The 15,368-nt window shown below is 40.2% G+C and overlaps 2 long non-coding RNA genes across 7 annotated transcripts in view; both read left to right on the top strand.

Annotated features, from left to right (window-relative positions):
- LOC105369844 (uncharacterized) overlaps positions 1-15,368 on the top strand; it is a 310,508-nt gene that overhangs the window by 52,566 nt on the left and 242,574 nt on the right. The gene's annotated exons all lie outside the window — the stretch shown is intronic.
- LOC105369846 (uncharacterized) lies at positions 738-9,511 on the top strand. Of its 3 annotated transcripts, XR_001749217.2 has the most exons (5): positions 738-1,312; positions 1,909-1,976; positions 2,973-3,034; positions 4,673-4,841; positions 8,241-9,511. It is a non-coding gene; the product is annotated as an uncharacterized LOC105369846 (long non-coding RNA). The 3 variants fall into 3 exon arrangements; XR_001749216.2 differs by having other exon boundaries at positions 738-1,976; XR_001749215.2 differs by having other exon boundaries at positions 738-3,034.

The raw sequence follows: 15,368 nt of genomic DNA, 5'->3' as shown, positions 1-15,368 counted from the left end.
GTAGCTCTATTTGTAATTTTTTAAAGAACAGCCACGCTTTTCCGTAGTGGCTGCATCATTTTACAACCCAATAAACAGTGCACAAAAGTTCCAACTTCTTTACATCCCTGCCAACACTTGTTGTTTTCTGGGTTTGTTTTTTTTTTTTATTTGATAGTAGTGATCCTAATGAGTGTCAGAGTATGATTGTATTTTAAGGGAAGATTTTCATGCTTCACCCTGAAAGAATGATGATGGTGTTGATTTCAGGCTCTGGCACAAGCCAAGAGGAAATATTAGATATTTTGTTTAGGAAATTCTTGTTGCATCCTTCAAATCACATGACATAAGCCTCAGCAGAATCATTATATATCACTTGAGTGACAGATAGCTGAGTCACCTGCCCCTGAGGTCTAGATAAGATTACCTTCTCCATACCCCATTCTAGAATTGAGAAAAGTCAGACTCATGACACAGGATTATGCACATTTCTGGAGGGCTTATTTGTCATGGTCTTATCTCTGTTTTTTGCGTCCTGCTCATGTTATTTTTTTTTTTCCCCCTCTCCTATCTATATCATTCTTGTTTTGTTTCACACGGATGCAGACCTGGACCTGAGCCACTTTTCTTGATTTCCCAGAAATAGTCACTCACTCAAAGCCCTTGTATGTGCAGCAGATTTCACTGATGCTTTAAGGAGGAGTTTATGCTGCAAAAAAGCAAGCTATTTAAAACTGAATATTAGCTCTCCTGCTTCTAGAAGTTCTTTGGGCCATCCTGCCTCAGAGCACTTGTTTCCCCTGCTGTCAAGCCACTCTCTACAGCACCATTTGCCGTTTTGCTGACTTCTCCTTTCCCTTCCCCCTCCATCTTTTCATCTGAGTCCTTACTAACTCCTAGTTTGCCAGGGCTCTGTGCTGCACCAGCTAGAACCATGTGGGACTAACGGGCTCTTGTCCCAGGTTCATGCTTCATTTCTTCTCCAAGGTCAACAGACATCTCTCCTCTTAAGAGAGAGATACAAGAACCCTAAAGCCTGGGCCAAAGTTTCTCCGCAGCTGTAATGGTTTCCTGAAGCTGGAGATTTTGCCTCGACTCCTAGACCCAGTCCTCCTTCCATACTTTAGAGTTCCCAGGGATGCCACATTCTCCTCTCTTTATGATGCACAACAAATCATATCCCTCAAACTCCACTGTAAGTAAGCCCTCCTTTGCCAACCCAAATCTCAAAATGTTCACCTAAATAAAATACTCTTTCTCCATTTATGAGCTCAAAACAGAAGTGGAGATCTTGAGTTTTCCTTTAGAAGGTCTATCCACCTTCCTTGAGAAGGTAATGGTTTGAAAAGCATTTGTTTTTCTTCTTATACCCCAGAAATCTCTGTGATTTACTGTTGTTGACGACCATTCTGACTTCATGCTTTTGGGAAGGCTTCTTGGAATGGCTGAGTCTTGAAAAAAAAAAAAAGATAGGATTCTGACAAATGTATTTCTTTTCTCCATTGCAGCTGAAATCAAGGCTAGCTAGGCATGGTTAACAGTGTTTCCTAAAGCTGTTTGAGTCTATTTACTTCAAGGACTCTCTTTTGCACTACCCATGGAAGCTAGACTTCCAGATTCCCCACAATATTGGCTTTCTAACTTGGGCAACTGTTTTGTGCCTTATTCACACACTGGTTGCTGTTTGCGGCAGGAGGCTAAAAGAGTTGTTAGACTCTGTAGCACTTGGCTGTAATTATATACTCCTTGACCTCACCTACATAGTTGAAACCCCTGCTGCCTCCCTCCAGACAGATATCCTAGTGGGGAGTCTGGCTGAAGATTGAAAGGTTGTCATGGAAGTCACATTTAATTGCTTCCTCTTACTATATATGGTAGGCTGGAAATGGTATCATGAAGCTAATCTTGTAATCCTTTTCTTCCTGAAAGGAGAACAGTGGAATTCTGTGAACCAGAGAAATGTAGGCAGCTGGGAGTCGAACTTAAGCACCAGTATGGTAGGCACCAGCCCTCCTGTCCAGTCTCATTAGCCCTTCAATGGTGATAATGACGTAGTCGGAAGGCAGCTGAAGATTGCAAAGGAGCCAGACTGCAGAGGTCACTGGGAGGGGCAGAACATGGCATGAGGGAGAAGAAATGTAAAGGGAAATAGTATTGTCACCAAATTTGAGAGCTGAAAAAAGAATTGCATCCAAATATGGTAAAAGCTCACAGATGTTGTCTTAACTATCCTGTCTATGTCAAAAGAGGTTGTAAACAGGATACAGCAGTGGGAGCAAAAATCTACTCGCCCGGTAGTGAGATAGCTTGTGTTTCTGGAATGCCCCACACTCCATCTCTCTGCCAATCTCATTTTCTCTATCTGAAACAACTTTCTACCTGGGTCTCACCTACTCCGCATGCTGCCATTTCCCCTGGGATTACTTCTACTGGTCCTTCACATTTCAGCATAATTGGCATTTCCTCTGGGAAATCTTGGGCTGCTGGAGACTGGGTGAGGTGCCAGCACAGGTCATACAACATATATACTAAGTATTGTAATTGGATCTGTCCTTATTTATCTTTTCTATTAGGTCAAGACTAAGGACTGTGTTTTCTTTATTGCTGTACCCACAATGTCTAGCACAGTGCCTGGAGTATAGAAGGCAGTCAATAAATATTTGTTGAAGGAATAGATGATTGAATAAATGGGCTGCTAGAAAATAATCATTTTCGTGTCTTCTGTGGACCAAAACCAAATCCTTTATTAGTTCAAATCCTTTACTGAACATGTTCTATGTGGAAAACCTAATTCAAGGTTTTTAAAAACATATGTAAGGGTTAATTCTAGCTATAGAAAATTGCTTTATTGAGGGTGGAATCTTTGGAGAGTCAACCAAAAAAGGTTAAGCATTCTGTGAAAGAATACAGTAGCTAGAGAATTTTATCCCAAAGGTCAATGTTGTCAGCTTTGAATCTCAATTTCTTTTATATCTTTGATCATTGGGTTACAGAATCTATGGTTATCATCCAAACTAAAGGGAATGAAAGCTTTACTCTGAAGGAACTGGGTCCAGTGAGTATCTTGGTTACTTTTCTACATGCCCCATAAGTGACAGAAAAATACATGTCAACATAAAAATGTATAGATCAGAAATACACATTTTTGAATGCAGGAGACCTCATTGTTTTGACGACACATAAAGTTTACAAGATCTGGCAATACAGAATCACCTTGGGTTGATCTTTTTTTAAAATATATTTTTAAAATGGATTCTTAGAAATAAGGCCTGGCCATTATTCATTTCACTACTCTTCCCACTATTTTTTTTTTTTTTTTTTTTTGAGATGGAGTTTCACTCTTGTCGCCTAGGCTGGAGTGCAATGGTACAGTCTCAGCTCATTGCAACCTCCACCTCCCAGCTTCAAGTGATTCTCCTGCCTCGGCCTCCTGAGTAGCTGGGATTACAGGCACCCGCCACCATGCCCAGCTAATATTTTTCTATTTTTAGTAGAGATGGGGTTTTGCCATGTTGGCCAGGCTGGTCTCGAACTCCTGACCTCAGGTGATCCACCAGCCTCCGCCTACCAAAGTGCTAGGATTACAGGCGTGGGGTACCATGCCCGGCCTATTTTTTTTTCTTTTCTTTTCTTTTCTTTTTTGTTGAGACGGAGTCTCGCTCTGTGCCCAGGCTAGAGTACAGTGGCACAATCTCGGCTCACTGCAACCTCTGCCTCCCGGGTTCAAGCAGTTCCCCTGCCTCAGCCTCCTGAGTAGCTGGGACTATAGGTGCGTCCCACCATGCCCCGCTGATTTTTTTGTATTTTTGGTAGAGAGGGGGTTTTGCCATGTCAGCCAGGCTGACCTCGTCATCTGCCCAACTCTGCCTCCCAAAGTTCTGGGATTACAGGCATGAGTCACCGCACCAGGCCTTCCCACTATTTTTGAATGCTCATTCTGTAGTGGTCAATCTTGGCTTTGACATAGACCCTGAACACTTTCTATATGTTATTACTATCAAATGGAAATAACAGAAAAAGTTAATACCAAGAATAACAACAACAGCAAATTATTACATTTTGAGCTATCACTTAGTCTTTTATTGATAAATTTTAATTTTTTGCTTTTAGGAAATATTTCAGCCATACCAAAAGGATAGAATAGCATTTTATTTTATGTTAAATAAGCTATTACATGCACTTGAATTTTTTCCTCTTCTAGAGCACGTTTTCCCTTTCAATGTTTGCCAAAATTATCGAAAAACATAATTATTTCATCTGACAAAAGCATGATTTCCAAGATAGTTGCCAAAATTTTTATCTTTTTGTGAAACATTTTAAAATAAGATTGCAGTTAAACACAGTTCCTTAAAAATGTACTCCCTGATTATATGAACCAGGATTAGAAAATTAAAATTCCCATGCATTCCAGAATTATCAGTGAGAAGCCACAGTAAAAATTTTATTTTTAAAATTCTTCCGTCCTGCGAATACATTTATTTTTAAAAAGCAAATGAAGGGTAATCTTGACACATCAAAACTCATACGAGAACTAAAGCCTCAATGTTTTTGAAACACAGCATATGGACTTTTGGGTGAGTTCTAAGCTTGCAAACCATAGCTGCCCATCTTTCTTGATACATTTTACAAAAATGATACTACATTTTATTCCTTCACTTACATATCTAATCAGTATTTATTGACTTCCCTTTAGGTGCCAGGACCTGTGATAGGTGCTGAGAGAGGTCAGTGATTGGCTGTGGCACCTGCCCTTATGCTGTGTACTCTCTGGCATGATTCTCCTTCCACCTGAATGGTAGACTTCCCCTTGGTGATACAGTGCATTGAACTACATTATAGAATTAGTCTTCATTTTTAACATGGTGAGCATAGTAACTGCCTTACAGAGAGAGTTGTTGTGAAATGTAAGTGCAATAATACATGGAACGTATTTAGAACAAAGAATTGCATGTGATAAATAAGAGCGCAATATATGTTAGCTAAAAAATAAATTTAAAGGATCATGGAACTGTAGAGTTGTAGGAAATCTTACATTTTTTTTTTTTTTTAACAATCCAAACTTTTCACTGTATGGTTGAGGAATCTGATTCTCATTGAAGTTAAGTAGTTTAGTCAAGGTTACAATGTGCTGTTAGCGGAAGGAGCAATGGAACCAAAGATTCCTTGATTGCTACCTCACTGAAATTTTCACTATAGTATCTGCCAGAGAAGTTGTGAGTGGGGGGAGAACTAGATTAATAGCTCCCAGCACATGCCAAATACTCAAAAATGCACACTGCAACAATATTGAACAAAATCATTACCTCAAGGGAAAAATTCTAGCAGCATAAGTACTTTCAAAAGCTTAATGATACCCAGTTGGGTGCTTTATTCTGATTGAGCATAGTCTGATTTCTTAAAGATATCACACTGGCTGGTGGTTTATGTGTGGTTTAATTTGCTTGGGTTGGGTTCATGGAAAACATGCTCCATGAAAACAACTCCACCATTGTTTATTGATCAGGTGCAGTCTCCTACCTACTCACTAGACATTGGCCACGAGGCATGTTCCCTTTGGCAACAGTTTCCAAGATTACCATAGGCATCCTCTCAGTTATGGAGATTTGAAAAGCTAAGAAAAAGTCTTCCTTATTTTCAACGCAATCTTTTTAGCCCCAGAAAACATCAAAAAGCTGTGAAAAGTGTTGTGTTCTCAATGCTTTTCTGTGCACAGCGTCCAGGGAGAACCTGAGTGGCACCATGTAAGCACATAAACCTTTGCAGTCCCATGAACTGCAGAACATTTTAATGTACTATTTAGGGAACAAGGCAGCAATAGCCTGCTGAAGGTGGAAAGGGAAAATAACTTTCCTTTCTAAGAGAAAATGAAGTTCTGTTTGTGCTTGCCTCTCCTCACACCTTCAAGGCTGTAAAAGGATTTTGAGGTGACCTGTGCATTTTTTTGAGATCAGCCTCAGTTATTGCTTAAGAAGCCACACACCTCTTTCAATGCCTCAGTTATAGACTTAAAGGGAAGGGCCAAATCTCCAACTGAGACAGCTGAGGGTCTTAGGTGAGCAATTTTCCAATTTAGGAAAAGGCCAGAGAAGAAGGAACAAAGACAGCATAGTCTACTGTCAATATTAATTACAGTGAGTGAGGATTCCTTTGATTAATGATATTAATCCTTGAACTTTAACTTTCCTTCTACAACTGTAAATCTAGTTATTCTTTACTTTTTTAATGCAGTAGCAATATGGTATAGGGCAGTGAATCTCAATGGGTAGTTGTAACATGCCTCCCAGGGGATATTGAGCAGTGTCTGGAGACATTTTTGGTTGTCACAATGCAGGTGGTATGGTATTGTTGCTACTGGCGTCTAGTGGGTGGAGGCCAGGGATGTTGCTAGTCAGCCTGCAACACACAAGACAGCCCTCCACAACAAAGAATTATCTGGTCCAAAGTGTCAGTAGTGCCAAGGTTGAAAAACCCTAGTGCAGGGGCTAAGAGTTTTGTTGATAGACCCAGACCAACTGGGTTTCACTTCATAACTGGTGACATTCTGAAAATTACTTAATCTCTATTCTTCAATTCCCTATCTGTAAAATGAGATAATAACAGTACTTTCCTTATAGAATTTTTATGAGGATTAAATGAGTTTCTAGATGTAAGGTCTTTAAACAGTGCCCAGCATATGGTCAACATCATGTGAATATTTGTTACTTTTGGCAAAACAGCAGAGGGTATATTAAGAATGATCAGAACAATAGAATCTCTGCACAGTATGTTTTTGAGGGGAACTTGACTAAAAACCACCTTGAAAGGAATTAATCCATATAGATGAACTAATTTCATGCAATCCATAAGATAGTGGAATCCATGTGATGTACTGTGTGACACTGTCATTACTCTCTGATGGTTTCTTTGTGCCAGTATTGTGCCATGCTGTTGAAAGGGAAGAAGAAATGTCAGCGCACAGTCCTAATACACCATATATGCTTGGGTGGTATTTGAGATTAGTTAGTAATCATTTTGGAAGATTCATAGAAGATCAAAGGGGTGTCAATTCCTTATGTGGATATGGAGCTGTGGATATGAGACTAAAGGAAAGACAAATGGAAATACAATTGAAAATTACTCTGCTGGGTGCAGTGGCTCATGCCTGTAATCTGAGCACTTTTGGAGGCCGAGGCAGGAGGACTGCTTGAAGCCAGGAGTTTGAGACCAGCCTGGGCAATAAAGTGAGACCCCCCCTACACAGAAAGAATAGTAATAATACTTAGCTGGGCACAGTAGCATGCATCTGTAATCCCAGCTACTTGGGAGGCTGAGATGGGAGGATCTCTTGAGCCCAGGAGTTTGAGGCTGCAGTGAGCTTTGACAGCCAATTGGGCAATAGAGGGAGGCCCTGTCTCTGAAAAAGAAAAAAAAGAAATCACTCACTTGGCAGGGCTATTGGTATTTGTAAGAAGTGGAGGTAATTGACCTTTAAGATAATAAAGATAAAACTAAAAAATGGGACTCTGACCTTGAAAAACCTTGAAAACCAAAGGTGGCGATATTTGTAGACAGAGCCAACAAATTATCATATGATTGATTCTCCCATTAATTGTAGAGTTCAAGCTGCCTAAAAGGGACATTTAAGTACATATGACAAATTATAGGTATTCAGCAGGGAAAAGAGGCCTGAATTGGCTGAATTGACCTGTCTGAATACTATGCCCAGAATTATGTTTAATCTTGTGGTTTTAATTTGCATAAGAGTCTGAAAATATCTCTGCTAAGCTTGGTTAAATAGTCCTTGACCTTGAGGTTTTTATTTTATGCTCTGGATAGTTTCAGCAGCCAGGGGACCCACTCTGGCTTTTCCCTATTTTAGATTCTTTCTCTCAGAATGAAAGTTTTAATTAAGACGATGTTTAACATTAGAGGCTGTGAAACTCAGGAAGGCAATTTCACAAGGCCTCTAGAGACCAAATTTAAAGTCACAGTTTTAGGAGCCTGTGATAAGTGCCCATTCACTCTAAATATTTGTGAACATAGCAGAAGATATTTACAGTATTATTGAGATCCTCTGAGCTTCCAGGAAATGCACCTTTATGTGATATACTCACTTTTAAGCTCAAAGGGCTGCAGTTTACCTAGTTCTGGTACAGTCTCATCAGGAAAGGGAACAAGCTACCCTTCTTGAATGCCTAATATATGCATAATCAGACACTGTGCAAGATATTTTAAAATCATTTTAAATGATATTTTAATATATTTAAAATGATTCTTTCTAGTTTGTAGATAATAAAACAAAGGTTCAAAGAAGTCAAGTTGTTTGCTCAAGATCACACAGCTGGTAAGTTGTGGTGCCCAAATCTGGATCTAGGTCTGTCTCTAAAGCCCTTTCTACTTTATCTATTTGTCTCCTGAGCCATTAGCACATAAAATACAGTTCTCAAGCACTACCACCACCCAAGGAGTCGCTACAAGGGAAATTGAGGTGGGCCATGTCTAGGGCTGGGGATCTGCATTTCTGTCTTTTTCTGACATTTTAAAATAGGGGGATTCCAAATTTTGCACCATATCACCATTGCCTTGTCACTAACCATAATACATTTACCATCTGAAGGAGGCAAGAAATATCTGTGAGTCACAAAAAAGAACAATGGGCTGATGCATATCCTATAGGTTCTACCTTCAAAATATATCCAGAATCTGATGACTTCTGCCCATCGCCTATACTAACACACTGGTTAAGTCACCATCATTCTTGTCTGGGGGATTGTAGCAGCTTCCCAGCTGGTTTTCCTGTTTCTACTCTCACGTCCTTAGAGAACGTTCTCCTCGTAGCATCTAGAGTGCTCCGTTAAAAAGGTAAATCTGGTTATGTCACTCCTTGCTCACCATCCTCCAGTGGCCCAGACTGCATTTAGAATAAAATCCAAGCAACTTTGCATTACCTTCAAGTTTTAATGTTGAAGTTTAATGTTCCTCCTCCCCACTTCTCAAGCCCTTCTCTGTCCCAGCCTCTTTGTACTTGCCGTAGTTTGTACCACCTGATGTTCTTCCCAGGGCTTTTTGCTGGTGAAGGAGATCAGAATATGTCCCCCCAAAATATGCCTTTTTGACATAGGAATTAGTTTGAGCTGAAGGCAATTAAGAAGTAGCAAACACAAGAACATTTCTCTCAACCCTCCCCCTTTCTGCCTAAAGGCAGGATCTAAATTCTCCTTTCCTAGGTCTGACTCCAGACTCTTACCAACCCAGAGACAGCACCAGAGGAATCTGCCAACAACTCTTACTCCACTAGTTTACCCCATATGTTTACCTTCCCATAGTTCCCTGCCCTTGGAAACCTAAAACTGCTTTCCTTTGTTCTGTCATTTCTCTACACATTTATTATTATTCTTTGTTCCGTCATTTCTCTACACATTTATTATTATTCTTTGTTAAAAATGCTATAAAAGTCGAGTCCTGAAAGGTTATGGACTCGTCTGTCTCTGGGTACTCACATGTGTCACATGCATGATTTGCATGTTAATAAACTCCTGTGTGTTTCTATTTTTTTTTTTTAGATGGAGTTTTGATCTTTTCGCCCAGGCTGGGGTGCAGTGGCGCAGTCATTGCTCACTGCAACCTCCACCTCCCAGATTCAAGGGATTCTCCTGCCACAGCCTCCTAAATAGCTGGAATTGCAGGCACCTGCCACCACGCCCGGTTAATTTTTGTATTTTTTAGTAGAGACGGGGTTTCACCATATTGGCCAGGCTGGTCTCGAACTCCTGACCTCAGGTGACCCACCTGCCTCGGCCTCCCAAAGTGCTGAGATTATAGGCGTGAGCCACTGTGTCCGGCCGTCTCTCTTGTTAATCTGTCTATTGTAACAGGGGCCTTAGCCAAGAACCTAGAAGGATAGAAAAGGAAGATTTTTTCTTCCTCTCCTTTACACCCAGCGCTGGTAGCCTTCTCTCATCGTTCAGTTCCAGTTCAAAGGTCAGTCCTGCAGCGATAACTTTCCTCCTGGTCAGCCTAAATAAAAGTCTTACATCCCAACCCCCACCCACCTGTGAGACACACACTCCCTGTCGTGACACCTTGTTTTCTTTAAAGCATTTATCACCAACTCACACTTTCTCCTTTATATGTGTGTTTATCAGGCCGGGAGCAGTGGCTCGTGCCTGTAATCCCAGCACTTTGGGAGGCCGAGGCAGGAGGATCACAAGGTTAGGAGACTGAGATCATCCTGGCTAACACGGTGAAACCCTGTCTCTACTAAAAATACAAAAAAAATCAGCCGGGTGTGGTGGCGGGCGCCTGTAGTCCCAGCTACTTGGGTGGCTGAGGCAGGAGAATGGCGTGAACCCCGGAGGTGGAGCTTGCAGTGAGCCAAGATCGCACCACTGCACTCCAGCCTGGGCGACAGAGCAAGACTCCATCTCAAAAAACAACAACAACAAAAATACAACAACAACCTCACAAAAACTATATATGTGTTTATCATCTACTTCCACCCTCTAAGAAGTTAAAGATTTTGTCTTTATTACTGTTATAACCCCAGAGTCTAGAAAAAGTGCCTGGTTAGTATAACTTAAGAAATATTCATTAATATTGAAAAGAACACTGAGCTGGGAGTCCTGAGACCTGTATTTAACTCTGGCTCCACTACTGATTTGTTTGCAGGGGATGCTGGACAAGTTAACCTTCTAGGCTCTCAGTTTGTCTCTTCATCCACAGATTAGATTAAATGACTTCTACAACCCAGTCCTAGTCCCAAAACGCTGATTCTGACATCCTGACTCACAGTGGGGGCCTGGGAATGGAGTTCGTTGACTCTTTTTGTTGTTGTTGACCCCAAAGGAGGTGTTACACTAAATGAGAAATGCTGCAAGCCTCAGTCATCCCTATTGACAAAGAGATTTTGTTTAATGATGTTAATAATGAAATTTTTAGTTAGTGCCCTGAAGGTGAGTTATGTGTATAGGAAAAGCTACTCAGAGGTTTTCTTTGGTCATAGAAATTAATATTCAGGCCAGGCGTGATGACTCATGCCTGTCATCTCAGCACTTTGGGAGGCTGAGGCAAATGGATCACCTGAGGTCAGGAGTTTGAGACTAGCCTGGCCAACACGGTAAAACACCATCTCTACTAAAAATACAAAAATTAGCTGGTATGGTGGCACATGCCTGTAATCACAGCTACCTGGGATGCTGAGACAGGAGAATCACTTGAACCTGGGAGTGGAGGTTGCAGTGAGCCAAGATTGCACCATTGCACCCCAGCCTGGGCAACAAGAGCGAAACTCCATCTTAAAAAAAAAAAATTCAATTTAACAGAATTATAATTAAAAACATCTAGTTCTACCGGCTTTTAACTCAGTCCAAAAATTTTATTGTGTTTTACATGTCTGGTGCATTTTAACAACTACTTTGATGGGTTTTTTGAATGATACTTAGTCCCATTTAAAATCTGGTTATTTAAATGCCTTTAAACATTTTAAATTATGTTTCTTTATTTTATTTTATTTTTTGAGACAGGGTCTTGCTCTGTTGCCCAGGTTGGAATGCAGTGGCATGATCATGGTTCACTGCCACCTTGACCTCCTGGGTTTAAAGTGATCCTCTTGCCTCAGCCTTCTGAGTAGCTGGCACAACAGGCATGTGCCACCATGCCTGGCTCATTTTTTAAAATTTTTTTGTGAAGATAGGATTTTGCCATGTTGCCCAGGCTGGTCTCCAACTCCTGTGCACAAGTGATTCTCCCCTTCAACCTTCCAAAGCGCCGAGTTTACAGATGTAAGCCACCACGCCCAGCCTCTACATTTTATTGATTTGAAACCTTCTAAAAAACTTTAACTGGCTATCAGAGTTTTCTGTATACTTTAACACTTGTTATGAATCTAAGAAGTACATTTATAAATATTGAGAAACTTGGGTCTGCTTAAGAGTTCTATTACTGTATATAAATTTAGGAAGATTTTGACTCAATTCATAAATCTGAATCAATTTCTCAAGCACATATTTCAAATTGAGATAAACAAGCTGAGCTATTATTCTACTAGGATAAATTTTATTAAACATTACAAGAAGAAAAAATTTCAAATATGCACAGCTTTCTCCACACAATAATGTATTTTTGTTTTGATGTACAATTTTATACTTTATTTTATTTTATTTTATTTATTTTTTGAGATGACATCTCACTCTGTCGCTCAGGCTGGAATGCAATGCAATGGCACGATCTCGCCTCAATGCAACCTCCGCCTCCCTGGTTCAAGCGATTCTCCTGCCTTAGCCTACCAAGTAGCTAGGACTACAGGCGTGAGCCACCATGCCCAGCTAATTTTTGTGTTTTTTTTTTTTTTTTTTTAGTAGAGATTGGGTTTCACCATATTGGCCAGGCTGGTCTCAAACTCCTGACCTCATGATCCGCCCGCCTCGGCCTCCCAAAGTGCTGGGATTACAGGTGTGAGCCACCGCACCCAGCTGTACTTAATTTTAAATACTCCCAAAGTTAACATATACTTATCAGTATTAAAAAATGATCACCTCATTCCCCACAGTCTCTTTTGAGCTATAAATGTACATGGTTGTGTGTGTAATTTAGGCTAAAATCTAGGGGTAGTCAGTAGCCCTGATCAGAAATTCACATTCCCATGGTTGTCAACTCACATTTGCTCAGAAAGTTTGCATTCCACAGGAGGCTTCTGCAAGGCTTTAGCTATCTTTACGTTCGATCAACACTACGCATTTGTCTAATTAGCATAATGAATAATAGAAGTATTTTCAAGTATTATGTTAGCATAATAGATCATAGAAGTATGCTCTCATGCATGGAATTAGTGCTATTAAAGAGATATGATTTGGCTAAAACATTTGAGACAATCTCCACCTTCAGTAAAGAGCACACAATTCATGCTAGCTTTTTACTCTTATCTCTAAACGTAATCGGTGCGTATGGCAGAATTTGGTTTGAGTTTTCATATTAACACAGCGGTGAGGTGTAGGTGAGCAGCTGACTGCTATTGTTATCTACCAAAAAAGAACCTAATGGTTGTTTTTAAGCAATTTGGCTCAAGCCAATTGGAAATGCCTTTCCATGTAATTTTGCTATTAACTTAAGGTTGCATAATCAGAAGAATTCTTTTGGGCAACCTTGATAGAACCCTGTTATAATTGTTATGCCAATGAATTCATAACTGCAGGGGAGGTGGTGGTTTCATAGTCAAGATCTTTGATTTTCTACTCAGGGGAATCTACAATCCTTACATTGTTTGATTAGTTTTGTACTTCCTTGGCTCTAAACATATCTCTTCCATTGATTTTTAAAGACTGTTGAACTTGATGAAATCCTGTGTTTTATATTATCTTTATATTCTTAGAATCATATGACTCTATGGTTATTAAAATGATATTAGATTACATTTTAGTGTTCTCTCTTTCTCTCTGGTAACTGTTTAAGTCAGAACTCCTGAAAGTGATTTTTACTGATAATTGACATTAGGAGAAAACACCCATGAACCATGCAGCAAATCCTTAACAAAGCTGGCTCTGGAAATACCTGTTATATCAAGTAGTGGTAGGTTACTGGTGTTTTATTTCCCAGAGAAGTATTTCAGAAATGTAGGCTCCCTCACAGGGCACCAGACCCAATGCCAACTGGAATAGTGGAATAGCCATCCCATTTGAAAAAAGGGGGACATGTGGAGAGGAGGGATAAGGGAAGGAATGTTGAGAGAGGAACGGGGGGAAAATTGTTTTCATGTGTATTTTTCTACTCTGAAGATTCTAGACAAAATGTATTCAGCAGAGAAGGGAGGAGGAGAACAGTCAAAGGTAAGTCATTTTAAATTTTCACTATCAAGAATTCCTTTAAAAGTTTCTCCGTTGACCCATGTTTTGATAGCTTTTACTCTACTAAGTAGATGGTATTTATCACTCAATAACTTATTTCTCCACTTTTATTAATCGAAGACCTATATGGGATTGTTAGGAATACTGATTAGCATGAGCTAAGTGTAGGGGAGGTAGGGATACCCTTCACTGCACCTTTACTCTTCTATGGGCTCTTTGGCTGGGTCTGGGAGCCAAACTGACACGAGGCAAATTAGCAAGAGAAAAGCATGCATGTTTTACCTGAGTGTGGGGGCATCTCCACCAGAGTGTGAAGTCCCAAGAAATGGCCAAAGCTTTTATAATTTTTAGACAAAAATAAATTTGTGAAGAAATGACAGGACAAAGAAATCTGCCTGGGGTAGTAAATTCTAGAGGAGTCACTAGGAGGTATATACATGGAGTGTAAAGCTAGTGGCAGAGTTAATTAATTCAGTCCTGTTGCAGTGCCAAGTCTGGCTCCAATGTTAAGAACTATTCTTTTGTCCTGGTAGTGGGAAGGCACCTGTCTCAAAGAAATCTTTATGGCTTGCACCTGACAGGAAAAGACAGGTCAGCCTTTTCTTGAAACTACAATTTTCCAGTGTTTTCAGCTTGAAATAATCAATATGGCATATTTGGGTATAGTATGTCTTTTACTCCTTCATAGGAAAGAATCTCCATAATGATTTGGTAGTTTCAGCCAAAGAAGAGGAAATTGGGGTGCTAGTTAGATATATTTTTCTTAGCCTTATCACAAACTAGTTCTTTCATAATCTTCTAGTGTTTAAAAAGAAATACAGATCTGGGCCAGGCACGGTGGCTCACACCTGTAATCTCAGCACTTTGGGAGGCTAAGGCGGGCAGATCACTTGAGATCAGGAGTTCGAGACCAGCCTGGCCAACATGGCAAAATCCCGTCTCTACTAAAAATACAAAAATTAGCCAGGCGTGGTGGTGCATCCCAGCTACTCAGGAGGCTGAGGTAGGGGAATCACTTGAACCTGGGAGATGGAGGTTGCAGTGAGCCGAGATGGTACCACTGTACTCCAACCTGGGTGACAGAGTGAGAGTCTGTCTCAAAAAATAAATAAATAAATAAATAAATAATTTTAAAAAATAAAGAAATACAGATATCCAGTTTCCACACCCAATAATCTAAAATATGATCTGTTGGGGTGGGAATCTTCATTTTTTAACAAGTGTTGTCCTTATCATTCAGGTGGTTTAGACCTCACTGTTCCTTGAACAACACTTTGAGAAGCAATCCAGTAGAAATTTTGAAATATTGAAAATAGTTTCCTGACCTCCCTCTGACTTGGCTTCACAGGTCTGGTGACTTCAGGTTGGGAACCTCTGGAAGGGTGAATAATTGCCAACTCAATTCAGCTGTTCAGCCTTGGGCACTGCTTCAGTTGAAGCTCAAGAAGCTATGACTAAGTTGACCTTTTGTCATATCTCTTTTCCTCCCTGTTTATTTAAGTTACCATCTTAACTGGCTGCTGAAGTCAAAAGTGCTTTTGTTCTCTGCATGAATGGTTTGATTCACATCAC

This window comes from Homo sapiens, chromosome 12 (assembly GCF_000001405.40).
Source record: "Homo sapiens chromosome 12, GRCh38.p14 Primary Assembly".
Lineage (NCBI taxonomy): Eukaryota > Metazoa > Chordata > Mammalia > Primates > Hominidae > Homo > Homo sapiens.
The sequence above is the reverse complement of the archived record's forward strand: the minus strand, read 5'-3'. Positions and strand labels throughout refer to the sequence as shown.